Source organism: Homo sapiens, chromosome 1, assembly GCF_000001405.40.
Source record: "Homo sapiens chromosome 1, GRCh38.p14 Primary Assembly".
Lineage (NCBI taxonomy): Eukaryota > Metazoa > Chordata > Mammalia > Primates > Hominidae > Homo > Homo sapiens.
Genome location: NC_000001.11, coordinates 5,872,630 through 5,899,942, shown reverse-complemented (window position 1 = coordinate 5,899,942; position 27,313 = coordinate 5,872,630). Strand labels below are relative to the sequence as shown.

At 53.9% G+C, this 27,313-nt stretch overlaps 1 protein-coding gene across 32 annotated transcripts in view, besides 3 other annotated features; it reads left to right on the top strand.

Moving 5' to 3' along the window:
• NPHP4 (nephrocystin 4) overlaps positions 1 to 27,313 on the top strand; it is a 129,615-nt gene that overhangs the window by 92,483 nt on the left and 9,819 nt on the right. For 24 of the 32 annotated variants that reach the window (XM_006710563.4, NM_001291594.2, XM_017000999.2 and 21 more), the window contains 7 exons: positions 8,915 to 9,075; positions 12,477 to 12,657; positions 19,704 to 19,829; positions 22,645 to 22,850; positions 24,843 to 25,069; positions 25,286 to 25,472; positions 26,608 to 26,691. In XM_006710563.4, coding sequence (XP_006710626.1) covers positions 8,915 to 9,075; positions 12,477 to 12,657; positions 19,704 to 19,829; positions 22,645 to 22,850; positions 24,843 to 25,069; positions 25,286 to 25,472; positions 26,608 to 26,691 — 1,172 coding nt within the window. The other 8 variants (XM_017000996.2, XM_011541214.2, XM_047417565.1 and 5 more) reach the window with 6 other exon arrangements.
• Positions 1,947 to 2,746: an enhancer, noted in NCBI's record as "OCT4-NANOG-H3K27ac-H3K4me1 hESC enhancer chr1:5957257-5958056 (GRCh37/hg19 assembly coordinates)". NCBI's record gives its function as "activates a minimal SCP1, AML or CMV promoter by ChIP-STARR-seq in naive and primed H9 embryonic stem cells {active_cell/tissue: H9 hESC(naive and primed)}" and the evidence as "EXISTENCE:reporter gene assay evidence [ECO:0000049][PMID:30033119]".
• Positions 2,747 to 3,548: an enhancer, noted in NCBI's record as "OCT4-NANOG-H3K27ac-H3K4me1 hESC enhancer chr1:5956455-5957256 (GRCh37/hg19 assembly coordinates)". NCBI's record gives its function as "activates a minimal SCP1, AML or CMV promoter by ChIP-STARR-seq in naive H9 embryonic stem cells {active_cell/tissue: H9 hESC(naive)}" and the evidence as "EXISTENCE:reporter gene assay evidence [ECO:0000049][PMID:30033119]".
• Positions 19,631 to 20,135: an enhancer, noted in NCBI's record as "H3K4me1 hESC enhancer chr1:5939868-5940372 (GRCh37/hg19 assembly coordinates)". NCBI's record gives its function as "activates a minimal SCP1, AML or CMV promoter by ChIP-STARR-seq in naive H9 embryonic stem cells {active_cell/tissue: H9 hESC(naive)}" and the evidence as "EXISTENCE:reporter gene assay evidence [ECO:0000049][PMID:30033119]".

Here is a 27,313-nt window from a genome sequence, read left to right as displayed (position 1 = left end):
CTGTCTGTGTATCTTCTTCCCTGAGATTTCTGCTCAGATACCTGAACAGATGTCTTTTTATATTTTGGATGCAAGTCCTTTATCAGATACGTATTTTGCAAATGTTTTTTCCCTATCTATGGCTTGTCTTTTTATTCTCTTACCAGTATGTTTGGCAGAGTGAAGTTTTTCATTTTAGTGAAGTCCAGGTCATTAGTTATTTCTCTCATGGATTGTGCATGGGTTGTATCTGAAAAGCCATCTCTGAGGTCACCTAGATTTTGTTCTGTGTCGTCTCCTAGGAGTTGTATAGTTTTGTGGTTTACATTTAGGTCTGTGATCCATTTTGAGCTAATTTTTATAAAAGGTATAAATTTTACCAAGTGAACACACCTGCGTAACCACCTCCCAGCCCGGAAGGGGCTCTGGAACAGGATGCAGAGGCCTCCCTCACCGCAGTCCTTCACCTCCCCCAAGGGAACCACCCTTCTGAATTCTGCCACTGTACATCAGTTTTGCCCCTTTTTGGACTTCGGTGGGATCATGTTTTATGTTCTGTTTTGAATCCCACTTCTTTTGCTGGCCTCTTGTCTGTGGGGTCCCTGTTCTGTCTATAGCAGTAGCGTTTCTGTTTTCCTGGCTGTAGAGAAGCCCAGTGTCGGGTGATTCTGTGATGCTTCTCCATTCAAACAGGCGTTGGAATGGGTTCTAGTTTTTGGCTCTTCTGCATAGTGCTGCTGCGAGTGTGCTTTTGGTGCGCACGGCCGTTGTGTTAGAGATATGCCTGGTAGTGAACGGCTGGGTTGTGGAGCAGCACCTGTTGTTAGGTTTAGTGGATCTGCCAAGCAGGTTTCCCTCGTGCTGCGCCAGCTTCCACATCCATCAGCAGGAGACAGGCAGCCCAGACAGCGCCATGTCCTCGCCAGTCACGTGGTGATCGCTGGTTTTCTTTGTTTCTTTGAACCATCCTGATGTAGAGGCATCTCGTGGTTGGAGCTTCCTTGATGATACCGAGTGCCTTTCACAGGCCTGCTGGCCTTAGGGGTATCGTCGTTCATGAGGCATGTGTTCAGGTCCCCTGCCCATTTTCTAGTGTGTTGTCTGTGTGTGTGTGTGTGTGCATGTGTGGGTTTGAATTGATAGGCATTCTTTCCGTATCCCGTCACCAGAGTTAATAGGACATGTAAGATTTTAAAGCACTGGCCCCATACCCACCAAATTTAGACAAGCCAATTCCCAGCCCTGAATAGTTGTCCTAAGGAAAATTATGTTCTCAGAATCCAAAATTTGACATTGCCAGAGACTCAGGTGTCTGAGTGAATGCGCGTAGATGGGAGAATGCCTTGGTTCCAGCTTCCCAGGCCTTTGCCATGTCCCGATCAGGAGGAAGATCCACTCAGAGAGCGGCATCTGAGGCGTGGCTGTCTGCCCGGCAGAGCCGCTGGGGGGCTCGTGCCAAGGCCCTGCACGCTGGTCCTACTGAACTGAAGCTTCCGGCAGCCACGCCCGTGAGCCTGGAGGAGCCAAGGAGCCCAGGGCTCCCGAGAGTGGTTTTCTCCGTGTTTGGGTGTTTGGAGCTGTGAGTGGCCTTTCTTCTCATCACCTCTTCTTCCTACACTTTTTGGGGGGCTCTGCCGAGGGCGTGGTCTCCCCTGCGTGTGTTGGTTCCCTCCTTGGCCCTGGGCTTGGTGCCTTCAACCCTTTTTGTTTTCTTCGCTCCTGTCCTGGCCTTTTGCTTCCTAACATGTTCCTCCTGGTGTTTTTGTCTTGTGGGGGCCCTCCTCAGTGTGAGAGCTGAAGTAATTGAATTTTGGATCAGCCAAGAGCATCTGTTCTTCCAAAGAACGCGGTCCATTTCCTCTCCCTGGGCTGTCCCAGCCGAGAGGCATCTCCATCAGACCAGCCTCCAGTCCTGCTCCGGGCCACCTAGCACAGCCTTGCCGTCTCTTCCTTAGTGGATCTCCTCTTTCCCGGGCCTTCTGCGAGAGCCCTAATCCCATATGTCCCCACCTGCAGAAACCGTGCCATGTTTTGGAACATTGCTTAACTGTTTATCTTGAATTATTTGAAAGTAAGTTGTTGACATGCATGGTAACACTCTACCTCTAAATAAGCAACGTGCATCTCTTAAAAATAAGGTACCCTTTTATATATGTGCAATTCTAGTATCACATTTAAGATAACACAAATTTCATAGTACCATTTCCCCATTTGTCCCCCATGTGTATTTTTTTGATCTGGGATCCAGCCCGGTTTCCTGTATTGTATTTGTAATTATCACTTTAATCTCGTAGTCGCCTGCATTCTTTTCCAGTGACACTGGCTTTCAGGAGAGACCAAGTGAGCTGTCTTGCAGAACGTCCCGTGTTCCGGGCTTACCTGGTTGCTTCTTCATGTTGTTGAACTTGTTGCTTTATCCCCCGTAGTTCTTGAATGCCGGGAGCGACGGCTGAAAGCTGTTTGATTCTGGATCTCAGCATGAACACTTCATTGTCAGTGCTGTGTGCTTCACAGCCCACCACCTCAGGAGGCGCGAATGTCAGACTATCTCATTGTTACGACGCTGATTCGGTTGCTTGGTTAAGGTGCCCACCCCCAGGTTTCTCCTGTAGAAAGAGAGTTTTTTCCCTTTGAACTGACTGAAGAATTCTTGGCGACATTTTTTGGCTTCATGCAAATATCTGGTCCCCAGCAACCTTCCACCTCTTGTTTTAACACCCTGGGCTGAGCTTTGCTTGCGTCAGTTATTTAATTGGTGTTTTTGAAATGGTAATTTGTCTAATTCTATCATTTGGTCTGCTCTGCCTTTATTAGCTCACATTCTTTGTTAAAAAAGAACTTTCCCTACCGATAAGCGATGAACTACATATACATGCTCCACAAAGACAGGACAAAGGTTTAATTCTTTCCCTTTAATTGCCAGTTTTCAGAGTGAGAAGTCGGTGGAATAGTTAGCCCAGCAGTGGGATCCCAGTGTTAGGTGTCCGGCTGTTTTGCTTTGTCTTTGGAGCGTGGCTGCGGTCTCCTGCATCTTCATCGATGCATGGGGTTGCACTCATTATTATTCCGGGAGCCCTTCCGGCCTTTCACCGGCTCTGATTGGACTTTGAGCGCGTCCTGCTTTCTGGAGCAGTGCCGGTTCCAGGCTCATCTTGTGCTCTCCCTGCCGCCAGCCAGGGCCCGTTTCTCTGAGGAGCCTGGTCTGCCTGAATGGGGATGACATTTCAGAGATCAGGATATGGGGTGCTTTGATTCTGGGTCTTCTTGCTTCAAAACCTTTCACCAGGAAGAGCTGGGAAAATGTAAAATGTGAGTTCATGTTGATCTTCCTAAGTCAGATTTAGAATTTTTCTCATAAATTTCCTTCTATTATTTGTATGTGTCTTACACAGAAAATCATGGTTTCTCATCATGTATTTACTTATTTATCTTGCCTAACAACGTATAGAATGCATTTTCACAATGACACTGCTGATGTTAATTGTTGACTTAATGTCAACAGTGCGTGTCCTGCTGAAGTCAGATTCTTCGCAGCTCCTTTTGGCCTCTGTCCCACCGAGGGTTCAGAATTGGTTTAGTGTGACCAAAAGCCCTCAAAATAATTCTTAGCTCCAGTTTGATATTCAGTATGATTCATTTATTTTAATTTGTTTTCACTTTTATGTTTGCTTTCCTTTTTAATTTTTTTGGACTATTTACATGGTTGAAAGTTGAACACCGTAGCCCAGTGTGTGCTCGGGCCTCCCTGCTCCCCTCATCCCTGTGGGCTCCTCCCCCTGCCCAGCCTCCTAACAACAGTAACCAGACTTTTCGTTTCTGGCTGACCCTTCCAGTGTTTTTACTGATTTGTTTTTTCAAAAATAAGCAAACATTTACATTTTATTTTCCCTGTTTTCTAATTCAGTGGTAACATACCAAATACACTCTTCTGCTCCCTGCTTTTTTCAGTTAATGTCATAGCCCAAGTTTGGCTGCGCAGACGTCGCCTGTGCCCGTCTCTACGGTAGCTGCGTCATGCTCTGTGGGCTGCACAGACGTCACCTGTGCCCGTCTCTACGGTAGCTGCGTCATGCTCTGTGGGCTGCATAGATGTCGCCTGTGCCCGTTTCTACGGTAGCCGCATCATGCTCTGTGGGGTGGTTATGCTGCTCTTTATTCAGCCGGTCTCCTAATAGACGTTTGTGTCATTTCTAGTATTTCGCTATCTCAGCAATTAGTAACCTTGGTTCTTTCTGGTTCTGGAAAGGGGATAATGGAATCACAGGCTTCAGTGGTGTTGACAGACACTGCCCCACACCCTCTCTCGGGTGCCGCTGCCCGGGGCCACTGGCAATCCGTGGGGCTGCTGGTTTCCTCCTGCTCACCGTCAAAATGGGGCGTTAACGGGTGGTATTTTTACAGTCCCATAGATGTGAAGTCCATCTTAATGCAGTTTTTTTGTTGTGTTTTGTTTTGTTTCTGTTTGAAACGAAGTCTTACTCTGTTGCCCAAGCTGGAGTGCAGTGGCGCGATCTTGGCAAACTGCAGCCTCCACCTCCCGGGTTCAAGTGATTCTCCTGCCTCAGCCTCCTGAGTAGCTGGGACTACAGGCACCTGCCACCATGCCCAGCTAATTTTTGTATTTTTTTTTAATTATACTTTAAATTCTAGGGTACACGTGCCCAACGTGCAGGTTTGTTACATTTGTATACATGTGCCATGTTGGTGTGCTGCACCCATTAACTCATCATTTAACATTAGGTATATCTCCTAATGCTATCCCTCCCCCCTTCCCCCACCCCACGACAGGCCCCGGTGTGTGATGTTCCCCTTCCTGTGTCCATGTGTTCTCTTTGTTCAGTTCCCACCTATGAGTGAGAACATGCGGTGTTTGGTTTCTGTCCTTGCGGTAGTTTGCTGAGAATGATGGTTTCCAGCTTCATCCATGTCCCTACAAAGGACATGAACTCATCCTTTTTTATGGCTGCATAGTAATCCATGGGGTGTATGTGCCACATCTTCTTAATCCAGTCTATCATTGATGGACATTTGGGTTGGTTCCACGTCTTTTCTATTGTGAACAGTGCCACAAGAGCGAGGAGATGACGGTCCAAGACAAGGCTGCCTTTCCATCTGTTCATTTCTACTGTGTGTCTTTCTGAAGAATTTTAAAGTTTATGTCATATGGGTTTTGCTATTGTTTTGTTTTCTAATTGATTAAATTTTGTGTTTATCTTTACCGTCCCCTCATTTCTCCTTGATTTTTGGTATTCTTTACTATCTTCCTATTTTTTTTTTGAGCTGCTTAATTCATTTATCTTAATTCTTTTGTTTGTGTGGATATACCAGGATTCAAGGCTATGAATTTTCCTGTGATTACTGCCTTAAGATTGTTGATACTGATAAGTAGTATTTTCATTATTATTATTGTTTCCAGAAAATCTTTTTTGATTGTGTTTTCCCTTTGACAGAAAGTTATTTATGAGTAAGTTGCAAATTTGTTTCTTAAAAAATTTTACCTTTTTTTTTTTTTTTGAGACTGGGTCTTGCTCTGTAGCCCAGGCTGGAATGCAGTGGCGTGATCTCAGCTTACTTCAACCTGCACCTCCTGGGTTCAAGTGATGGGCCTCAGTCTCATGAGTAGCTGGGGCTACAGGCATGCACCACTATGCCTGGGCAGTTTTTGTGTTTTTTGTAGAGATAGGGTTTCACCATGTTGCTCAGGCTGGCATATTAATTTCTAGTTTATTGCATTATGTTAAGAGAATATTATTTGTAGTATTTCTACTTTATGGAGTGCAGTTTTTTGTGGCCTGTGGGTGGCAAGCCAACCAGGTGCTGAGGCAAGAGAACGAGGACATGAGCTGTTCCAGTATAATAAAATATAAAACAAGAATAGTTATACCAGATATAGATCTTAGATGTGTTTATATATGAGTATCATTAATCATTAGTTTGTAGCAATTACTCTGTATTCCAATATTATAATAATCCTCGCTCTACGGTCATAACCTAGGAAAAACCAGGCCATACAGAGATAGGAGCTGAGGGGACACAGTGAGAAGTGACCAGAAGACAAGAGTGTGAGCCTTCTGTTATGCCCAGACAGGGCCACCAGAGGGCTCCTTGATCTAGAGGTAATGCCAGCGTCTGGGAAGACGCCCGTTGCCAGGCGGACCATGGTCTAGCGGTAGCGAAAAGTGTCAAGGAACAACACCCGCTACTTAGCAGACCGGGAAAGGGAGTCTCTCTTTCCCCGGGGGAGTTTAGAGAAGACTCTGCTCCTCCATCTCTTGTGGAGGGCCTGACATCAGTCATGCTCGCCTGCAGTTATCCGGAGGCCTAACCGTCTCCCTGTGATGCTGTGCTTCAGTGGTCACGCTCCTAGTCCGCCTTCATGTTCCATCCTGTCCACCTGGCTCTGCCTTCTAGATAGCAGGAGCAAAATTAGTGAAAGTACTAAAAGTCTCTGATATGCAGAAATAATGGTGTAAGCTGTCTTTCTCTTTGTCTCCTCTCTCTCTCTGCCTGGGCTGCCAGGCAGGAAAGGTCCCCCTGTCCAGTGGACACGTGACCCGCGTGACCTTACCTATCATTGGAGATGACTCACACACTTTACCCTGCCCCTTTTGCTTTGTATCCAATAAATAACAGCGCAACCAGACATTCGGGGCCACTACCGGTCTCTGCGCATTGGTGGTAGTGGTCCCCTGGGCCCAGCTGTCTTTTCTTTTATCTCTTTGTCTTGTGTCTTTATTTCTACACTCTCTCGTTGCCGCACACGGGGAGAGACCCACCGACCCTGTGAGGCTGGTCCCCACAGTGGCCTAATACATGGTTCGTTTTTATTAATGTTCCAAATACACTTGAAAAGTTGTTTTTTCTGTCACTGGGGTGCTGCGTTAAGGTCGATCCCTGCACCCCACACCCCTGCCACCGTGGGAGTTGGCCACTCTGCTCTTCTAGATTGTCACTCATTCATCGTTGCCTGGATCTGCCTTTGAATGGAGAGTGGTTAGTTTCTACCATTACTGTGTTTTCTGTTTCCTCAACCCCAGAAGCAGTGAGGATTCCAGCCGGGCTGGGGCGTGGTGTTTGTGAAGGGGGTGCAGGAGGTGGGCTTGGGGAGGACAGGGCCACTGCCCCTGGGAGTCTTCTTAGTTCAGTTGGAGGCCAGCTTCCTGGACTTCTGAGTGGGATGGAAATGACACAGGGTGGACTGTGGGGAGCTTGGACCTCAGGGGTGGCCACGGAGGAGCCACTTGTCTCAGCTGGACAGGGAGGGGAGAGGTCTGAGGCTGCAGTGGGGAGAGTACGCGCGTCCCAAACACAGCTCGACCCAGTGGGACCCTCTGTCTTGTCTCCTGGGGAGCTCCTTCCAGTGCCCCGCTGGACCGGCCCCCATTCTGTCACCACTATACCCCAGCACTGCCAGGGCCTTTCAATGCTACCATTAATTCACTTACTCAGCAAACAAATAACTGCGCCCCCACCATGTGGGAGGCCCTGCACAGGGTAGTGCTGGGAGAACTGGACAAGCAGGGCCCCACCCTTAAGGAGCTCTGGGTTTCAAAACAGGGAGACACTGATCCCAGAGCTGACAGCATGCTGAGAGCTCCTGGAGTGGGGGGCAGGAGCATGCTAGGCACGGGGCCATCCTGGTCTAGGCTCCTCTGACCAGCCTCCCAACTCTCACCCACTGTCCGACAAGCCCCAGTGGGATGATCCCGGTACCTCAGTTGGAAATGCAGAAATCACCCATCTTCTGCGTCGCTCATGCTGGGAGCTCTCACTAGATGCCACAGTCCAGGCAGGGGTGGGGGCTGTGTGGCTGGTCACCTCTGAGGTGCCACACTGGGGACATGCCTGCCCTTGCGTGATGTTAATCACCAGCTCCTCCTTGGTCTTCCTCCAGATTCCTTATTTGCCTTTCTGCCCCAAGATGCCCCCGTGAGCTCCTGCTGTGGCCAGCGCCGGGCCTGAGCAGTGGGTCCTTGCTCCACCCCCTTGGGGCCCACCCTGGGCCCTGCACTCTTCGCTCCCCCTAGGTCCCCTGTCCGGACACATTGTGCTTACTCCTTGTCCTCTGGTCTTGAGAAACGCAGATGGAATGTGGTCTGTGGTCATCCTGTGGGGCTGGAGCCTGGGTGGAGAGGACCTGTGGCCAAATTTCAGCCTGGCTTGGGGCCTGGCACTGGAGGTGCTGAGTAAACCTTCGCTCCTTCCTCTGCTCGTTGGGGGCTGTGGGAATGTTGTCACCATTATTGATAGAAAGAGAAATAATGTTGTTTTGAAATGCTTCTCACCATTGCTGTTCCTCGAATTTTAACTAAGGATGGTTTGAATGGCATTTTTGTCAATTTAGAATTAATGATAATGTCACTTCAAGAAGATGAAGGCAGGGGCCGCAGTCCAGTTCCCATCTCTTAGCCTGATGACCAGGGCAGACCGCACGGGAGGAGCCCGGGATACCCACGGGGCAGGTGCCGTCCTGCTTTAGGGCCAGGAGAGGGGCTGCTGGGTGTCCCACACATCATTCTAAGCCTGATCTCGGTTTGAGCTCTGCCTGTGTGTGTGAACATGCCAGTTTTGACAGCAGATGTAGACTACATTTTTTCTTAAATTCTACACGCCCAGAATAATAAACTCCCTAGCCAGCCTCATAAGGACATTTGTTCCCATCCATCTTAGGCTGTTACAAGGACTTGGTGAAACCATAAATCTTATTTTGGGAGGAGTTTATTGTTTCTATGCGAAAGAAATGTAGTCTTCTGAACATGACTCTTCATTCTGTTAATTTGAATATTTTATGATGTTTTTGATTAATGTGTTTATTAACTGTAGCTATGACAGAAGCAGAAATTAGTAATCATGACCAGAGCTGAAATCTCTTCCAAGTGTAAAGATGATGAATGACTCCAATTACTTTTGGCCTCCTTTGGTGCCTCTTTGACAGGGTCTCCTGGCTTCCAGCTGAGGTACATGGTGGGCCCTGGGTTCCTGAAGCCAGGTGAGCGGCGCTGCTTTGCCCGCTACCTGGCCGTGCAGACCCTGCAGATTGACGTCTGGGACGGAGACTCCCTGCTGCTCATCGGATCTGCTGCCGTCCAGATGAAGGTAGCGGCTCTCTGGAAGGACAGGCACAGTGGGTGCTGCGTCCCTCATGGGACGAGTCACGCTTCCAGCGTCTGTCTGCTTGGAAGGAGCGGGCGCTATCCCGCACAGGACTTGTTTGACCTTCTTTGTTCACTCGTTAAAAATAGTGCTGCATTCTCTGTTTCTTGAAAGGAAAAGATTTTTCACTGTCTGAATTCTATAATGCTAGTTGTTTGCTCAAGAAACTCTTAAGATCAAACTCAGTTATCTATTTCTCCTGCAAACTGACCTACCAGGCAGTGTCACTTCATCTCCTCCCATGTGGTGAATGTGGTGAGGGCAGGTGCATCCGAGGTGGGTTGAGGATGAATGAATGGATACGCGAATGACTGGGGTGTGCAGTGTGACCTGATTCCTAAGGTCAGTGACGTGTTGTTCTTTTCTCATTCTGGTGAAAATTAGAATCTCTTTTACTAATTGTCCTTTTCCATTCTCCTTGTATACTAAAACCTAAATCCATGGATTCTTTCACTCGTCTTCCCTGGAATTCTTCCCAAGCCTTCTCCATTGTATGAAGGGGACCCCATGACAACTCTTGGGCCAAGGACTGGGGCCAGTTTCACACGCTACCATGGTGTCCTGAGACTTCTCTCAGGCCACGGGACGGAGCTGGGAGAGGATGTGGCGTCATTATTGCAGCCCCTGAGTCTCTGAGATTTCCCCACTTTTCTTGAGTGCCGCATAGCTGCTTTCCTCCTGGATTCCTGACACGGCTGAACCCCCGGGGCTTCCTGTCCTCTCCAGCAGCTGCTGACCCCTGAGAAGCACGGCTCCTCTGCTCCTTCAGCTGCGCTGTGCTCTCGGGGTGGGGGGATGGGGTATGGGAGTTTTTCCAGCTGCTCTTCCTCTGAGGCATGGTCTGCTCTTGGCTCCCCGTGTGACCGACTGATCCAGGCTCCATCCCTGCTCCCTGTGACTTCTAGAGGAGGGGGATGCCCCCCAGGGTGGTGGGCTGTGCACAGAACGTTCAGGGTGGGGTCTGCAGGTGGCAGGGACTCCGCAGGGCTTGGCTGCTCTTCTCATGCCTCACCCTGGGCCTCTGTTCCTGTTGGGGTCATGGCAAGGGCCCCACAGGGTCATCGTGGCCCTTGCTTGTCCGTCTCCCATGCTGGCTTTGATGTCCCCAGGGCAGGACTGTGTGTCGACACCACAGCATCTCTAGCACAGGCCTCAGCCCCAGCAGGCTCTGCATGGTGGGGAGGCGTAAAGGAGGCAGGCGGTGTGGGAGGCAGAGCCGGGTCCCGCTGGGCATGTGTGGGGTGGCAGTGGCTCCCCTGTCGTGCCCAGCCGAGCCTTGTGCCCCCTCTTTGCTGTGCCACCTGGAGACGGAAGCCATTTGATCTCCCCCTACACGAAGAGCCCCTTAAACAAGTGCCGTTACGCTTGTTGACATAGACTTGAATAAATTAAATTTAAAGCTTCACTTTTCTAAAATAAAATCTTGTAACTTTAAAACTTAGGTAGAAAACGTGAAAAACTGAGATGATCAGAGAGAATCCTCTGGACTCCAGATCCTGGGAGAGTTAGGTTGCTCCGGTTAGCCTTTGGTGGACTTACTTTCTGCAGGCGGGGCCAGCTTTCATCTTGTTTGAGCTCTTGCTGTTGCGGGTCACTACAGTGGCTTTTCCTTCTGCTAATCACTGCTGTGGACTTCTTGAAGTTCAATTTTACCCCCATCTTCTAGTTGATTTCCTGGGGGTGCTGGCCGTAACACGTTGCTACGACGATGAGAAGAGTTTCCTCTAGGGACGGACGGCTCCTGTGCTGCCTTCAGTGTGACCCCTAGCCCAGCCCTGGGGCAGTTCTGTTTTTATCCTTGTTTCTGGTGGAGAAAACAGAGGCCCAGGGTCACACTGATGATCATCAGGGCAGAGTCTTAGCCTAATTCTGTCTCCGGGGCTTGTGCTATTTACCATCCTCTTCTCCCTAATGACATGTTCCCGGAAGTAGAATTCTGATGGTGCCACCGTGAGGGCCGCAGGCATGCAGAGCCAGATGGGGGTTTGGCCCGAAGGCTCAGCCAGGCCTGCACTTCCTGAAGACAGAGGGCACTGTGTCCCATGTCCTTGGCTTCACAGTGTGTCAGCCTTTAAACCAGTCGCCAGTGGCCATTTTGATAATGATTTGGGAGGAAAATGGTGCCTTGTTTTCATTCGCATTTCCTTGCCTCTTGGAGAAGCTGACATGGTTTCTTGTATTTGTTGGCTGTTCCCTAAAGGAGACTTCTCATATCTTCTCAGTCTCCCAGTGACTGAGGTTCCGGAATCATCGATGTCTATGCAGTGATCGTATGCAGTGTAGACGAGTGTGGCAAAGCGACCAGGGTCTGCGGCGACCGGAAGCCCCCAGACCCACAAGGGAAGGGTCAGGTCTGGCGTCTCACTCCCAGAGACAGGCACTTTTGTTGCTGTAGAAACTGGAGAATTACAAAATCCGGAACCTCATCTGCTCCCACACTGCTTCTTATGTGAGAGGAAGCACCAGAGCAGAGAGGGCACGGGGGAAGAGTGTCCCAGCCACGCCTGGGGCACAGCCGTGAGGCCGTTGTCATCCCCCACATGCCTCACAGTGTTGGCGTTCGGGCAGAGTGCTGAGCCGTGGAATCTGATCAGCAGAAGAGCCCGTGGTCAGGAAAGTCCTGCTGAGGCCCTGCTGGGTCTGAGGCTTCCTGCTCCCACCCTGCCCCGAGCAGCCTCGGCCTGGCATGCAGAACTGGGCCAAACCCCAGCCCAGGGCTCCCGGCGGGCCTCTCGTGCCCCATGGCCCCTCCCTGGGCCCCACGGGCCTCTACCCCAGCCATGCTTCCTGGCCCAGGGAAACGGGGGAGGCATTGTACCCTGTACCCTGTGCCCTGTGCCCTTGGCCTGGCCTGCCTCCCCGGCCTTCTCTGCCTCCCCTGCCCTCTCTGTGCATGGCCTGTCTTCCTCCTGGAGTCCCATTGGGGTTTCCGTCCTGGATTCCTCGCTGTCCCAGACACGCTTGGCTAAGAGTCCTTTGCGTTGCTTGGCTGCCCTCTTTCCTGCTCTTGCTTCCTGTGGAGGGGAGGATCCTCCAGGGCAGCTGCCAGACCCACTTATGCCTTCCCAGGGCCCAGTGGTATTTATTCAGTGGGTAAATCCAGTCATACTTTACTTAAGACTTTGTGAAAAAGACCCCAGTAATAAGGAGTCCTGCTTTAAGACGTTGGCGCCTGGCTCGCCGCCCCCTCACCCCCCAGCGTGGTGCAGGGTCTTATCCTGCGCACACCCCCTCCCGCCCACAGTGGCTTTCCTGCTGGGCTGGGGAGCAGCCTCCACCTGCAGGGCTGGTGGAAGCAGCCCAGGGCCGGCTCCAGCCTCTGAACGCGCTTTTCTCTTCTGCAGCATCTCCTCCGCCAAGGCCGGCCGGCTGTGCAGGCCTCCCACGAGCTTGAGGTCGTGGCAACTGAATACGAGCAGGACAACATGGTGGTGAGTGGAGACATGCTGGGGTTTGGCCGCGTCAAGCCCATCGGCGTCCACTCGGTGGTGAAGGGCCGGCTGCACCTGACTTTGGCCAACGTGGGTAAGAGTCCCCAGCCTTGTGCCATTTCTCCAGCGGCCGCCCAACCCCTCTGGTAGAGTGTGGGCTCCCTCGGGCAGGGGCCACATCATGGGCTTCACGGGCCCAGGAGGAAACCGGGAGAATTCTCACCAGCTTGGCCATGGAGCCTGTGTCCTTGGCCGCTGAGTCTGTCCTGGACCCAGTTGTTTGCATTCTGAATTTCTGATTGGGGTTAGAGGTCATCAGTCATCTCGGGCTCTCCTGCATGTTGTTGTTTGTTGCTATCCCTGGAGGATCTCCGGGACAGTCCTCAAATACAGTGACTGGGTTCCAGGAGAGACTTCCCTGTGCCTCATGATGGAGGACAGACAAGGGAAGTGTTCCTAACTTCCCTGCAGCCCGGGAGGAGGAGAGTGAAGAGGCGCATTTCTTCTCGGCCCAGCACCATGACTTTGTAGAAAATGGTGCCCCGGGATTGCTCGTTAGAGGGCCTGAGCAAAGCCCTGGACTTCACTCCACGTCCAGGACTGTGGTGGGTGGGACAGGTGGGTTGGGTGGCTCAGGAGGGTCCCACCTGGGACGTTCCAGGGGCTTCGACTGAGGCCTATGCTGGGATAGGGGCTGCTGATGGGGTGTCAAGGGACACAAGGCTGGGTGCCTGCCTGTGCGCACCTCAGGGCAGAGGACCGACATGGGACCCTGTAGGGCCAGTGACAAGCTCACTGAACCTCCCGAGGGTCCTCTGGAACGTTTGGGATTTTTCAGGGCAGAATTGAAAACACAATAAAACTAAGCCGTGTGATGTTTCTGAAGCTGTGTCTGTCTGCATGAGATTCAGACTTGTCTGCTATTTTATTAGGGAATTTTCCACTCCTTAGAACCCAGCCTGATTGTAAACCCCAGAGCCCCATGGGCCACATCCACCCGACGCTGGCAGCGCAGAGGTTGGTGGGGGGCCTGGCGGAGGGGCTCAAGTGCACAGCTCGTTAAGTCGACTTGGAGGCTCTGCCTGCCTGTTTACGAATGTACATCCGAGGCGGCCTGGTAAATAGACAATATGGACACAGCAAAACTCAATTAGGTTCTGGAGAAATAAATGAGCCACATGTGAGGAGCAGGCATTATTCAAAGGCTCATGCAACTAAGGGAGTTGCAAGAAGCGTTCTGCTCTGAGACCGAGTTGGTTGTTTTTATATTTAATTCTCCAGCCACCAAATGTGCAGTGACTCCAGGTTTTAAAATCTTATCTTCAGAAGAAAGATTGCCTCCATTATATGTTATCTCCAATTGTCATTTTCATACTTTGCCTGCAAGAGAGAGATAAGCTCATAGGAAGGGGAGGCTGAGATAGCCAGCCTGGGAGACTCCGGCGCTGACGGGAGAGGGAGAGGTTTTCACAAAGGTCGAATCCACCCGCAGCACTCTGCGCATCAGTGCAGCGAGCCTGGCTCTCCTCCGTCAGTTCTGCGTTTTTTGGAAAAAAAGGTGTTATGGCTTTTCTTTCTTCATAAAACTGGCTATTCTGTGGTACAGTAGGCGTCTCTCTGCTAGCAGCGTGGGTGCTGGCCATGGAAGCCTGCAGGGTTACCGCACGGGACAGAACCTGAGCCTCGGCCTCGGCCTGGATTCTGCTCTGGGCCAGCTGCATTCACAGTGCATGTTCCTGTCTGAGGCCACGCAAGGAAACCTGTGCCATGGCTGGGGACATGGGTGTCTGCCAGCTGGGCCCAGGGCCCTGGGACTCTGATGATGGGGAGAGGACTGCCCTCATGCTTGGTGGCTGCTTCACACAGCTGATTTCCTTGGCAGCCTCTTTTGCACTGTCTTTCGGTCAGCTTTTGTCGTCCAGGGACAGCAAGCACCAGATTGCTTTCTTTGATCCCAGTGATCTTGGTTGTGGAGTAGGATGGGTTCGGCTGGGAGCTTGGGCAGTGATCTTGGTTGCGGCGTAGGATGGGCTCGGCTGGGAGCTTGGGCAGTGATCTTGGTTGTAGAGTAGGACGGGGGTTTTTCTGGGAGCTTGGGCACTTATCTTGGTTGCGGAGTAGGACGGGTTTGGCTGGGAGCTTGGGCAGTGATCTTGGTTGTCGAGTAGGACGGGGGTTCAGCTGGGAGCTTGGACAGTGATCTTGGTTGTCGAGTAGGATGGGGGTTCGGCTGGGAGCTTGGGCAGTGATCTTGGTTGTGGAGTAGGACAGGGGCTCGGCTGGGAGCTTGGGCACTGATCTTGGTTGTGGAGTAGGACGGGGGCTCGGCTGGGAGCTTGGGCAGTGATCTTGGTTGCGGCGTAGGATGGGCTCGGCTGGGAGCTTGGGCAGTGATCTTGGTTGTGGAGTAGGACGGGTTCGGCTGGGAGCTTGGGCAGTGATCTTGGTTGTCGAGTAGGACGGGTTTGGCTGGGAGCTTGGGCAGTTATCTTGGTCGTGGAGTAGGACAGGGGCTCGGCTGGGAGCTTGGGCAGTGATCTTGGTTGTGGAGTAGGATGGGGGTTTGGCTGGGAGCTTGGGCAGTGATCTTGGTTGTGGAGTAGGATGGGGGTTTGGCAGGGAGCTTGGGCAGTGATCTTGGTTGTGGAGTAGGACGGCTGGGAGCTTGGGCAGTGATCTTGGTTGTGGAGTAGGACGGGGGCTCGGCTGGGAGCTTGGGCAGTGATCTTGGTTGTGGAGTAGGACGGGGGCTCGGCTGGGAGCTTGGGCAGTGATCTTGGTTGTGGAGTAGGACGGGGGCTCGGCTGGGAGCTTGGGCAGTGATCTTGGTTGTGGAGTAGGACGGGGGCTCGGCTGGGAGCTTGGGCAGTGATCTTGGTTGTGGAGTAGGACGGGGGCTCGGCTGGGAGCTTGGGCAGTGATCTTGGTTGTCGAGTAGGACGGGGGTTCGGCTGGGAGCTTGTGTGTTACTTGTGTTCTGTGACCTTTCCTGGGGGAGGCAGGCGTCAGGACAGATGGCCCCACAGGCTAAGCGTCTGTGTTCTCACAGGACATCCTAGGAGAACTGGGTGGTGATGGGTTCTGACAGATGGCCAGGCTGTGGGGTCACACGGTTGGCGGTGGCGGGCTTTGGTCCAGCTGCAGGGCTGCATCGGGAGCCCTGTGTGTTTGGAGGGAATTCCTGCCCCTGCAGCAAACGTGTTGGTGCGGGTGTAACCTGTTTCATGGAAGGTGAAGAAAGCCTGCACTAATTTAACATCCAAGTTGTGCCCTGATGAAATGCAGTGCCTTTGCCGCTTGTTCCCTTCTTGAGTGAGCATGCAAGTGTAAATTCAGCTTACCTGGTTTATTTTCCCATGTGCCCTAAGTAGAAATATAGTAAGAGGAAACGGTCATGAAGCCCAGCAGGGTTCCGTGTCCTGCTGGTCACACCCGCTGCAGCCATTGTCATCATTAGGTGTCCTTCGAGTCTGAGCTCCAAGAATGCTGGTCGCCTGCCCCAGGCCCAGTTGGCCTTGCCACACTCTCCTTGGTCTCTTAGTACTTCTCAGGGTGGTGCATAGTACAGGCTTAAAATAGACCAGTGCCCACTTCAGTCAGATGTGGGTGGACCAGAGGCCTCGTCTGCGATTCAGGGAACCATTCGCTATCAGATGAAGGTGGTCGAGAAAGCTATGGAGCATTCTGGGCTGCCCCGGGTATAGGATGAACCCACTGCAGCCCACAGTGAAGGGAGGTGCCGGGTGGAGGATGAACCCACTGCAGCCCACAGTGAATGGAGGTGCTGGGTGCCTGGGAGGCCCCTCCTTCTTGGAGCAGGTCCTCGGGACGTGACAGAGAGCTTGCCAGGACTGCCAGCCCGTGAGCTGCTGCCCCTGCTGTGAATTCCCGTGGGAAGAAACACACAGCAAGAAGCTGGGACAACTCTGAGCTTGTGAGTGGGAAACTGAGGCTTTGGGGCTGGTGGCACTTTCTCCCCATCATGTGGAGGGCAGCGTGGCCCGGAGCGTGAACATCGGTGGCACTTTCTCCTCGTCATGTGGAGGGCAGCGTGGCCCGGAGCGTGAACATCGGTGGCATTTTCTCCTCGTCATGTGGAGGGCAGCGTGGCCCGGAGTGTGAACATCAGTGCTGGTGCCCGCAGCTCTGGCCCTGGCACAGGCAGGCTGGGCTGGTTCAGGCTGCCGTCCCTTCCTCGCCCCAGCCTGCTTGTTTGTCTGCCATTTTCCCACATGAATCTGGGAAGTCTTTGAGGACCCTGATCGTGGCTTCTTTGTAGTGGTGTTTGCCCTTGAACCTGGCGCCGTGGTGGAGAGAGTGATGAAAGCGTTGATAAGAAGCCTGAGTGCCCTTCTCACCGGGAGCCCTGTTCTTCCTGGGCTTCAGAAGATACAGCCCATCATGGGGCATGAACATCTGTTCGTGTGAAGGAGCGCTGATCTGGGTTCCTTTCTTAGGGACGAGGATCTTGATCCTGTGACCACGAGTTGTCAGGGCCAAAAACGGATTCCTGGCAGGCGAGAGGAGGGTGTTTGGGCAGAGGCTCTGCAGCCTCCACTGGGAGGGTGCAGGCTTTAACTTGAGGGGAAGCTGGAGACCCCTGCGAAGCATGTGGGAGCAGAGGTGGCCATGGCGGGCAGGACAGGAGGGAGGGTCTGAGAGCAACAGGGAGAGGACCGAAATAGCCCTTGTTCTAGGTGCTCGTTCCCAGGAAGCTGGCTTGGAGTGAGGACTGAGTGGACGCTGCAGGTGCCAGGAGGCGGTTGGTAGCCCGAAGGCAGAAGCACAGTGTAGGGCATGTGGGCGACATGGAGGCTGCGTCTTTATGGGGATGTAGCAGGGACCTGGGCCGAGGGGGAAGTCAGCACGGCTGTCCTGCTGCACAGCATGGTGCTGACGTCGAGGTCAAGGAGAAAGAACAAGAGGCGGGGGGTGTCAGCTACTGGGACATTGGCAAGAACGAAATTAATTCCCCTGGAAAGAGATGGCTGGGTAAGCGCACCACTGAGAGATGGCTGGGTAAGCGCGTCACTGAGAGATGGCTGGGTAAGCGCGCCACTGAGAGATGGCTGGGTAAGCGCGCCACTGAGAGATGGCTGGGTAAGCGCGCCACTGAGAGATGGCTGGGTAAGCGCGCCACTGAGAGATGGCTGGGTAAGCGCGCCACTGAGAGATGGCTGGGTAAGCGCGCCACTGAGAGATGGCTGGGTAAGTGCACCACTGGCCTTTCTGGTTGCCACCTAGGGCGTGGGAGGAGGCAGCCAGCCTTCCCATCCTTCGCAGTGACGGCTGTGAGCGTGGCCGTCAGAACCTGGCCTTGAGGGCCGAATTCTCAGCACAGGTGAGCAGGCGGCTTGACCCTACAGCTGCCCAGAGTGAGCTTTCAAGCTGCCTCCAGGGATGGCGCTGAGCCAGGGAATTCTGCATTTGTGCTCGTGCGCAGACAGTAGGAGGCGGCCAACGTGCCAGTGCCTTTGCCATAGTTGCTTTTGGAGCTTCAGTTTTGAAAGAGCTTACAAAGACTGAAGCAGGGACAGATGACCAAGAACAGCTCGTCTGCAGGAGGTGGCAGGAAGGCCAGCCTGGCTTGGACTGAGATCCGGAGAGAGCACTCAAGATGACCAAAGGAACTTAAGAATTAGGAGAATGTGAGTTCTTTGAGGGCAGCAGGGATTGTTCGCTGCTGCGTCACCAGCTTTCCATCTGTCTGTGAAGTGAAGCTCTTCTAGAAGTTTTCTAGAGATTGATTCCAGGCAGTCTGTGATTTCTAAATCTAGCCTCTCTCTACCACCACATCGGGGCCTTTGCCCTCAACAGCCCTTTTTGGGGGCTGGTCTGCTGTCCCGCCAATGTCTTTGGTGTCGCCAGCTGCGATTCAGTATCTGGCTTTCAGGTCCTTTCCAAAATCCAGGCGCTGTTCCCTGGGATGTAGAGGGGCTGAACTCAGGTAGAGCAGCTCGGAGACCTGCCTGGCTCCCTTGGTAGGACGGGCACTCCCTTTCCAGCCTCAGCTCAGACCCATTCTAGAGAGACACCTCCGTCAGCCAGCTCTGGTTTTGTCACCAGGAGAACCTGGGTTGGACGGAGGATATGGCTCACCTCCACAGGTGCCTGCACGTGGGCGTGCTCCCAGCACTGGGCTCGTCCTTGAAAACAGCAGCTTCTGACGGGCAAGAGGGGAAGGAACCTGGCGCAGCAGGTGGATCTGCTGCAGCCAAGGAGGGACCTGGCCAGTGTGGAAGTCCCTCCCTCCCCTAGGGCTGAGGGTAGGCAGGAGTGAAGGGATGCAGAGAGGCAGGAAGCCCAGGGGAAGGGGTTCCCGTTTTTAACAGCTCCCGGGAAAATGGTGAGGACATCCCAGGCCCGAGGGCACTCAACACTGCCTCGTCGGAATTAAGGAAATTGATGGCACAAGCATTTTGTGCGTACCCTGGGTGGTTCATTTTGGGACACAGCTTCGTTGGCGGTGCTCTGCCTCGCCCCTTGGGGAAGTAAAGGCCACACCGAGGTTGTGGGTCCCATCCTTGCAGGAGAGTGTGCCGTGGGCAAGCACGGCTTCCCCCAGGACACTCAGGTTTGCAAGTTGCAAGTTTGTAGGGTGCCACACCCACCGGCCGTGAGACACGCTTGTCCCGAGGCCACACCACTTGCTTGCCAAAGCCTTCTGTTATGAACACAACTCTGGTGAAGGCTCCAGTTTATGGGGGCTCTTTCACCCTGGGTGTGTGTGGAGCCAGACATTTGCACGTGTAAATGCACACAGGCCTATCCTTGATCAATGTGGCCATCGAGAGGCCGAGGTTAGAGTTTGTGAGGCAGCCCGCCTTGCGACCCAGAGATCCAGAAGTAAGAATCCATGTGCAGCGAACTGTGAGTGCCACACGCTTTCATTCGTCACCAGGAAACGGAGGCTGCCACTGACACGGCAGGAGAATGAAGACCTAGCTGAAAGTTCGCAGCAGAACGAGCTCCCACCTGTCTCTCAATTGCAAAACATTCAAAACAGAGGCGGTGGGGCCTTAGCGTGTCAGGGTGTAGATAGGCCATTTGAAAGCCACAGCCGCTTATGTGGTGGGTTGATCTGTTTCATCAGATTCTCATTTGGGGTTCATGTCTTATGTTGGGATGTTTTTCATGTAGGTCACCCGTGTGAACAGAAAGTGAGAGGTTGTAGCACATTGCCACCGTCCAGATCTCGGGTCATCTCAAACGATGGAGCCAGCCGCTTCTCTGGAGGCAGCCTCCTCACGACTGGAAGCTCAAGGCGTGAGTTTACACTGTTGGGCCCATGTGTGGGTGGGTCGTGAGTGGTGGGTGAGAGGTGGAAGACTGCGTGTGTGTGTGTGTGCATGCGTGTGTGCATGTGTGTGTGTGTGCACCATTCGTGGTGCTGTCAGTGCCCCTCTGCGTCTAGGACGGGACTGTGCTGTCCATGTGCAGGTGGGTCATGAATGGCGTGTGAGAGGTGGAAGGCTGCATGTGTGCACGTGTGCGTGTCTGTGTGTGCATGTGTGTGTGCGTGTCTGTGTGCGTGTCTGTGTGTGTTTGCGTGTGTGTGTGTGTTTGCGTGTGTGTGTGTGTTTGCGTGTGTGTGTGTGTGTGCGCACCATTCGTGGTGCTGTTAATGCCCATCTGCATCTAGGGCAGGACTGTGCTGTCCATATGCAGCTCGGTGCCCTGGCTAGATGCCCCTGTGGACCCACAGGCCCCACCGAGCCACCACATTGATCACACCCTGGTGCTCTAGGCTGGGCTCTGCAGGCGACTGTGCTGTTTGGAGAAGTGGGAACCCTGCCAGTGGCATTTGTGTCTGGTTGGCTGCTCATCTGCAAGGGAAGGAGAAATGGAGAGAAGGTCAGGAGGAACATAGACTGATTTTCAAAACAAGTTGAAGTACCCTATGTTGTGAACAGAAGAAAGAAGCCAATTATGGAGCTTGGGAAAGAAAGACCTGGTTTGGAGAGGAAGACCTGGGTTTGGTGAAAATGTGTTTCACAGCAGGGAGGCTCTGAAGTTTTTCTATCCCCTTAAAATGTAAGGCCTCACAGACCTGAGTATAAAGTACTTGTCATTTGAATTACAAGTGGGAAGTGCTCTTTAAGGAGCATTTTCCCCAGAGGTTGCAGATCATCTGTGTGAATTCACAGCTGCCGTGCGCTTTTGTGTGTTGCTGGGCCTTGGAGCTGTGGCTTGTTAGAGGTGGGAGGGGCAGTTAGAGGTGGGAGGGGCCGTTGGGTTCCCTCCTGCAAGGCTTCCAGGATCCCACAAGGCCCCTGAAACTCTGGGTAAACTTGTATGTTCTCCCTGGGAGCAGACATGAGGGGCTCAAAGGGATTCATGATCCAGGCAGATAGAGTCTGTTGTTCTGGGCCAGCTTCCTCATTGTAATTTTGAAGAAACTGAGACGAAGAGAGGTCAGGTGACTTGGCCAGTGCCGTGGCTAAGGGGTGAACTTGGCTTAGAATCTGGATTCCCTGCCCTGGGGTCAGTGCCCTTCATCCTCAGCTGGTCCCACAGACCACCTAGAGTACGGTGGAGAGCCAGCTCCTTAGAGAGAAGTCCCTGAGCTCCAGGAGCCAGGCTGAGGTTATTGATAAAACCCTGCCTCCAGGCGCAGCAGGTCAGGAGCTCAGCTGTCAGGGAGCAGGAACCCAGAAGGCCTTGCTGAGACAATCAGAGGCCCTGAGGTCAGTGATCCTCCAGACCCTGTTTTGCTCAGGACCAGGACAGGAGGTGTCCCTTAAAAGCACATGTCTCACCCATGAGGCAAGGCTCTGCAATTAGCAAGTTGCACGAAATTTTAAGAAGGTTCTCAGTGCTTCGTGCCTTACCCCAAGTGCAGTTTCACGGTCACTCTGTAACTTTCTTTCTGGTTTCATTGGGACCACGAGAGGTATTTGTTGGGGTGATGCAATCTGAAAACTTGAGCTCATGATAAACCCCAACTTGCGCAGGCCCCAGGTCCCTCCACTCACAGCCGTGGCTGCAGGTAGCTCAGACCAGGCCTGTGCCGGAGACTTGTAAGAGCCACGCGGGGCATCTGCAGAGCAGTTTGCCGGCGTTAAAATTGGATGGTGGTGAGGGACCTGACAGTGGCACTGTTTCCTTGTGAGAAGGAGGCGGGGGTCACGTTGCTGTCCACTGTGTGGAGGCTTCTGCAGGGGGTGCCCATGCCCCATACAAGTGGAACCAGGCTGGGAGAGCTCGGGCTGGCATTGGTTTCCTGTGGGAAGTTTCTGCTGGTGCCAGAGAGTGAGGAAGGACCCAGGCCCTAAGCTGGTAAGCTGGGGCGCCTCTCAGCTGCCCTGCCTGTGCCGGGCTGAGCGATTTTCTGGGAGCCTCATGTGTCAGCCTTTGGCGTGGCCTGGTCACCCAGCACAGCCCCGCCCGACACCCCAAGCCCCTGCTCTGTGTCGGAAGGAAGGGCCTGGCCCATCCAGTAGTGGCTGAGCCTTTGCCTGCCAGTGCTTGACCCTGTTCAGCTTCTGTTGGTTTGCTAAATGAGTCATTGTGTGTCCCTGGTTTGAGTAGGGCCACCCCAGAGGAGGCGGGCTGTCCTGGGGGCCAGGCAGTCCAGGGTCAGCTGGGATGGAGTTGAGAGCAGGAGCTTGGGGGCCAGGCCTGCTCTGAGCTTCATCGCCTGCCCCCCACTCACTGAAGGCCTCCTGCCAAGGGGACAACCCCTTACCCCCATTCCTGATCCGAGGGGCTGAGGCCAGCAGCCCTGGGTGAAGGCATTAGTGGGCCCTTTAAGATCCCGAGAGCATGGGCTTCTAGAACGTGGCCTTCTTCCCTAGAAAACCCCCTGGTGGTGTGTTGACAGCGTTGGATCTAAGGGCCAGAGTCAGAATTGCTTTTAATTTGAAGGCTGAGGAAAGGAGGGGATGCTGTGGAAACCAGGGTATAAAGTTATCATCTTTATCTGGATCTCAGAACTCTGCAGATTGGAGCTGCAAAAAGCATGAGCCGCACTCTTGAGCTCCCTCCCTATATAGGTGGTCCTGGGAGGCCTGCCCTGGTGTCTGCTCCTGGAAGGCAGACACTGCACGTCTACCTGACTCGCGCTCTGACCCTTTCGCAGGAAAACACGTGGTGCAAGCACAGAAGCTGGCGGACGTGGACAGTGAGCTGGCTGCCATGCTACTGACCCATGCCCGGCAGGGCAAGGGGCCCCAGGACGTCAGCCGCGAGTCGGATGCCACCCGCAGGCGTAAGCTGGAGCGGATGAGGTCTGTGCGCCTGCAGGAGGCCGGGGGAGACTTGGGCCGGCGCGGGACGAGCGTGTTGGTAAGGGTTTGTTCAGCTGTCACTGTCCTGGGATCTCCATGCAGACTGAGTCACTGTGCACATCCTTTCCCTGCCTCCCACATGATTCTCTCTTACCTTCCTCCCAAATCCTGGGGACAGAATATAAGAAAATCGGACTTTTTCAGCCACCGGGGGAAATCTTTAAGTGAGAATTATCTGGAGAGCTTTTAATAAAAGCCAGTTCTTGGGCGTCACCCCTGGAGATTCTGATACTGATTGGTGTGGGCAGGACCCCTGGAGCCTGGGTTTGAAGAAAGCTTTGCAGGTGATTCTGAGGCTCTCCCAGGTCTGGGGACCAGAGCTGTGAACAACTGACATATCCTGGGTTGTCAATGTAATCATTCTGGCTAGAAAAATTCCCCTTTTTGGCTGAAAATCTAAATAGAACTTTTAATATTTTGCTACTAAGAAATGGGAGGTGAGAATGGTTGTACCTCCTGGGTTCATAGAAGTCGGGAACCACAGGGGCCTTGAGAAAGATCTCCTGAGATTCCCCCTTGCATGTAGGTAGGCCGGGGTCTGAACAGAGGTGGCCCTTTTCCTGACAGTAAACTCAGCAGGGCTGCCACTCAGCCTCCCTGCCAGCAAGGCGTTGGTGCTCAAAGGTGGATGCAGACGCCTCGGTCCCTCCCTAGGCTCAGTTCAGTCTGATGGGGCGAGGAAGAGGCATGGTGAGAAGACACGGGGTGAGGAGGCCTGGCCTGATCCCACAGGACTGGTGGGCTCAGTGGTCAGGGAGGAGGGAGGGACTAGAGGGAGGCCAGGGCAGGGCCAGGGCATGACTGGGGCCTCCTCCCAGGCCTCAGGACACCCACCCCACCTCCCTCCCTCCCTTCCTCCCTCCCTCCCAGCTGGCAGGGCTTGAAGCTGTGGCCTCTGGAGGCCCCTAGCCTGGATAACCTTAGCTCTGTCAGCATAAGCTTGGAATTGAGGAGCCACTCTCAGCCCTATCCCTGTTTCTCATCCTAACTCATGTCTGGCCCCATCGTCCAGCACAGCCTGTCAGAGGTTCCACTCCTGAAAAGCTCTGAGGATGAAATTCTGATGGAGGCCCCAAGTGTGAAAGGCCAGCTCCAATCCCCCTGCAAAGGAACAGCCAGAGCCTTGGATGTTGGAAAGTGAATGTCCAAAGTCATTTAAGCCAGAAATCAAATTTTGTCCTCACCTTTTGAGTTAAATCCTGAAAGCACTGAAGTCAGCCCATCTCTCTGACGCCTCAGCCTCCTCTGTGTTAGACAGAAGGTTCCCAGCGCCCGGCCGCAGCGGCTTCTTGGAGTAGCTGCAGGCTGGCTGACTCCCCGGCATGGGGGTGGCCCCTTCCAGGCCTGAGATCTTGCAAGGCAGCCTCTAGTGGGCCTTACTTTTTCTTGTAAGTCCCACAGGAAAAACAGGCCAGTCTCCAACCTGTAGAACCCATGTGTGCTGGCCAAGCCCCTTGAGTCCCTGCGGCATCAGAGCAAGGGGGTGGCTGAGCCTTGCTGAGGCAGCGTGCTGCTTGCCTGGACTCTGACCCGGTGTGACCGAGACTCAGCAGGCCGGGGGCATGTCCTCTCCTGTGGACGCTGGGCCCAGGCAGGGCTCCCAAAGTTGTGTTGGGGACCTGGCTGGTGAGGCCTGTCACCATAGTTTTGAGGCCATTCTTTTCTCTTGTTTGAAACTTCTGATTCTCCACCGTGCGGGGGGCCAGACTCGTGTCTGTGAAGAGTCTCTCAGGAATAGGCAGGGATGCTGTGTGGACCTCCGTGTCAGGGACACAGCCAGCAGATCTCTGTCCAGCACTGCCTGAGATCCATGCCTGGGCGGGGCCGGCCAGTTCCACCCAGACCACATGGTCAAGGAAGGGGGTGGTGGTGGCGATGCTTGTGGAGAAATGTCCTCTTCTGAGATCGCGGGTGGTGGGCAGCCAGCAATAGCCCCTTGTGGAGGAGAGTGTGCCTGGGACCCTGTCCACCCATGTCCTCTTGTCTGCAGGCGCAGCAGAGCGTCCGCACACAGCACTTGCGGGACCTACAGGTCATCGCCGCCTACCGGGAACGCACGAAGGCCGAGAGCATCGCCAGCCTGCTGAGCCTGGCCATCACCACGGAGCACACGCTCCACGCCACGCTGGGGGTCGCCGAGTTCTTTGAGTTTGTGCTTAAGAACCCCCACAACACACAGCACACGGTGACTGTGGAGATCGACAACCCCGAGCTCAGGTGAGGTCTCAGTGGTGCCCGTCCTGCCCCAGCCCAGATCTGTGTCGGGTGCAGCCGGCACCCCTGCTGAGCTGGCTCGAATTCTGCCCGAGAGCCGGGGCGATTTGACTTCTCTCTCCCACTCCTCTGAGCACCGCTCTCGGTGGGTGGGACCGCAGCCTCCTGTGGGTCCTCCTGGGAAGAACTGCCCTGACGCCTGGACACTGCCTCCCCCAGCGTCATCGTGGACAGTCAGGAGTGGAGGGACTTCAAGGGTGCTGCTGGCCTGCACACACCGGTGGAGGAGGACATGTTCCACCTGCGTGGCAGCCTGGCCCCCCAGCTCTACCTGCGCCCCCACGAGACCGCCCACGTCCCCTTCAAGTTCCAGAGCTTCTCTGCAGGGCAGCTGGCCATGGTGCAGGTGCGGGTGTCAGGCACACAGGGAAGTTGCATTTGGCTGATGACGGTGGGAAATTGAGAATGCTTCCAGTCTCCACCAGTGTCCCTCCCTTACCTGTGCAGACAGACTAGCCTTGGGGCTGCCGCCCACTCCCCTTGGTGCTCAACAAGAGCCCTGGCATGTACACTGCAAGTGGCAACCAGCCCCTTCTCTTTTCCAGCCTGATGGGTGTCGAGCTGGACCATCTCCTCCTAATTTTCTTTACTAAGTTGGTTGGAAGGGCTTCTTAAAGCCCAGTGAATCTAATGGATTGACGTTTTCTAGCATCTTCTTTCCAGTTAATGTTGTTTGGTCCCTTCCGACTGCAGCACTGTCTGCTCTATGCAAGATGCAGCTTTGCAGGCATGTGTGCGGGGAGCATGCGTGCAGGGAGCATGTGTGCAGGGAGCGTGCGTGCAGCAGGTATATGTGCAAGAGGTATGTGTGCAGGATGTATGTGAGGTGTGTGTGCAGGGGCGATATGTGAGGTGTGTGTGCAGGAGGCATGTATGCAGGGTGTGTGTGAGGCACGCGTGCAGGAGTTGTGCGTGTAGGGGTCTGTGAGATGTGCAGGGAGTGTGTGAGGTGTGTGCAGACATGCAGTTGTGTGTGTGCAGGGAGTATGTGAGGTGTGTGTGCAGGTGTGCACTTGTGTGCAGGGGGTGGTGTGTGAGGTGTGCCTGCAGGGGGTGTGTCATGCCCGGGTGCGTGAGGCCGGCATGGGGTGTGGAGTGTGTGTTTCAGCTTTTGACCTTTTGGGGTCAGCTCTCTAGGGTGGTGGTCATCGCTTAAGGTGGACTTGAGATGTCCCTAGAGGCTCACTCACAGGATGCCATGCTGGCTCTTGGGATGGGCTGTGAGGACTGCAGGTGGGACCTCAGGCCTTTGGCTTCAGGCAGAGCCGGGTTTCCACCTGGGATCTGCTGTTCCCTTTGTTCCTGGCAGCCTCAGCCTTCTCTGGCACAGTGAGGCCGGTTGGTGATGGTTGCTGCCTGGAGAGTCAGTGTGAGAGGAGGCTGGTGGCTCCCAGCTGGGTGGCAGTGGTGTCTCTAAGCACAGGTGCTGGTCGCCTAATGGTGTTGCTTCCTGACCTGCTTGTGCTGTTCGGTTCCTGCAGGCCTCTCCTGGGTTGAGCAACGAGAAGGGCATGGACGCCGTGTCACCTTGGAAGTCCAGCGCAGTGCCCACTAAACACGCCAAGGTAAAGGGGCAACGGAGGACAAACTGATCTCGGGGCTTCCTGGGTATTCCCAGGGCCTGACCCTTGTGTCCTTCTCTCCCCTCCTGGAGGGGAGGGCTGGGGCCAGGTCAGGGCAGGGGTGGCGTGGGCCTGGGAATGGCCTTTTCCGTGTCCTCGCTGGGCAGGGCAGCTCCGTCTGGGCGCTGGCACAGCCTGCATGGTATCTGGTCGGAAATGCCTCCTTGGTGGCCGCCTTCTCACAGCCCAGGGCTCTCCGGGTGTGAAGCCGCAGTTCCCGTGGTGGCTGCCACAGCCTGCGGCCACTCCTTGAGCCTCACGCAGAGCATTCCCTGGTGTGTGAGTGTGTGGTGTGGTTCTTCCTGGAAATAAGACGTAGTCCTTGGTTACGTCCCTTGCTAAGCGAAGGCCGTATAGTAAGGCACCTGCTTCTCAACAGCTGGCTGAGACATTCTCAGGAGGAGCTTGAGACACTGCTGCTTTATGGCAGTTTCTGAAGGTTGTTTTTTATTCGGTAGAAACATGCCTTTTGTAGTAGTTGGGAAGTGAAAAACAAAATTAAAAAGCTTTGGTCTTTCTTACACATTGCCTGGAGGACAGAATTCAGAGTTCAGCGCAGTCCTGT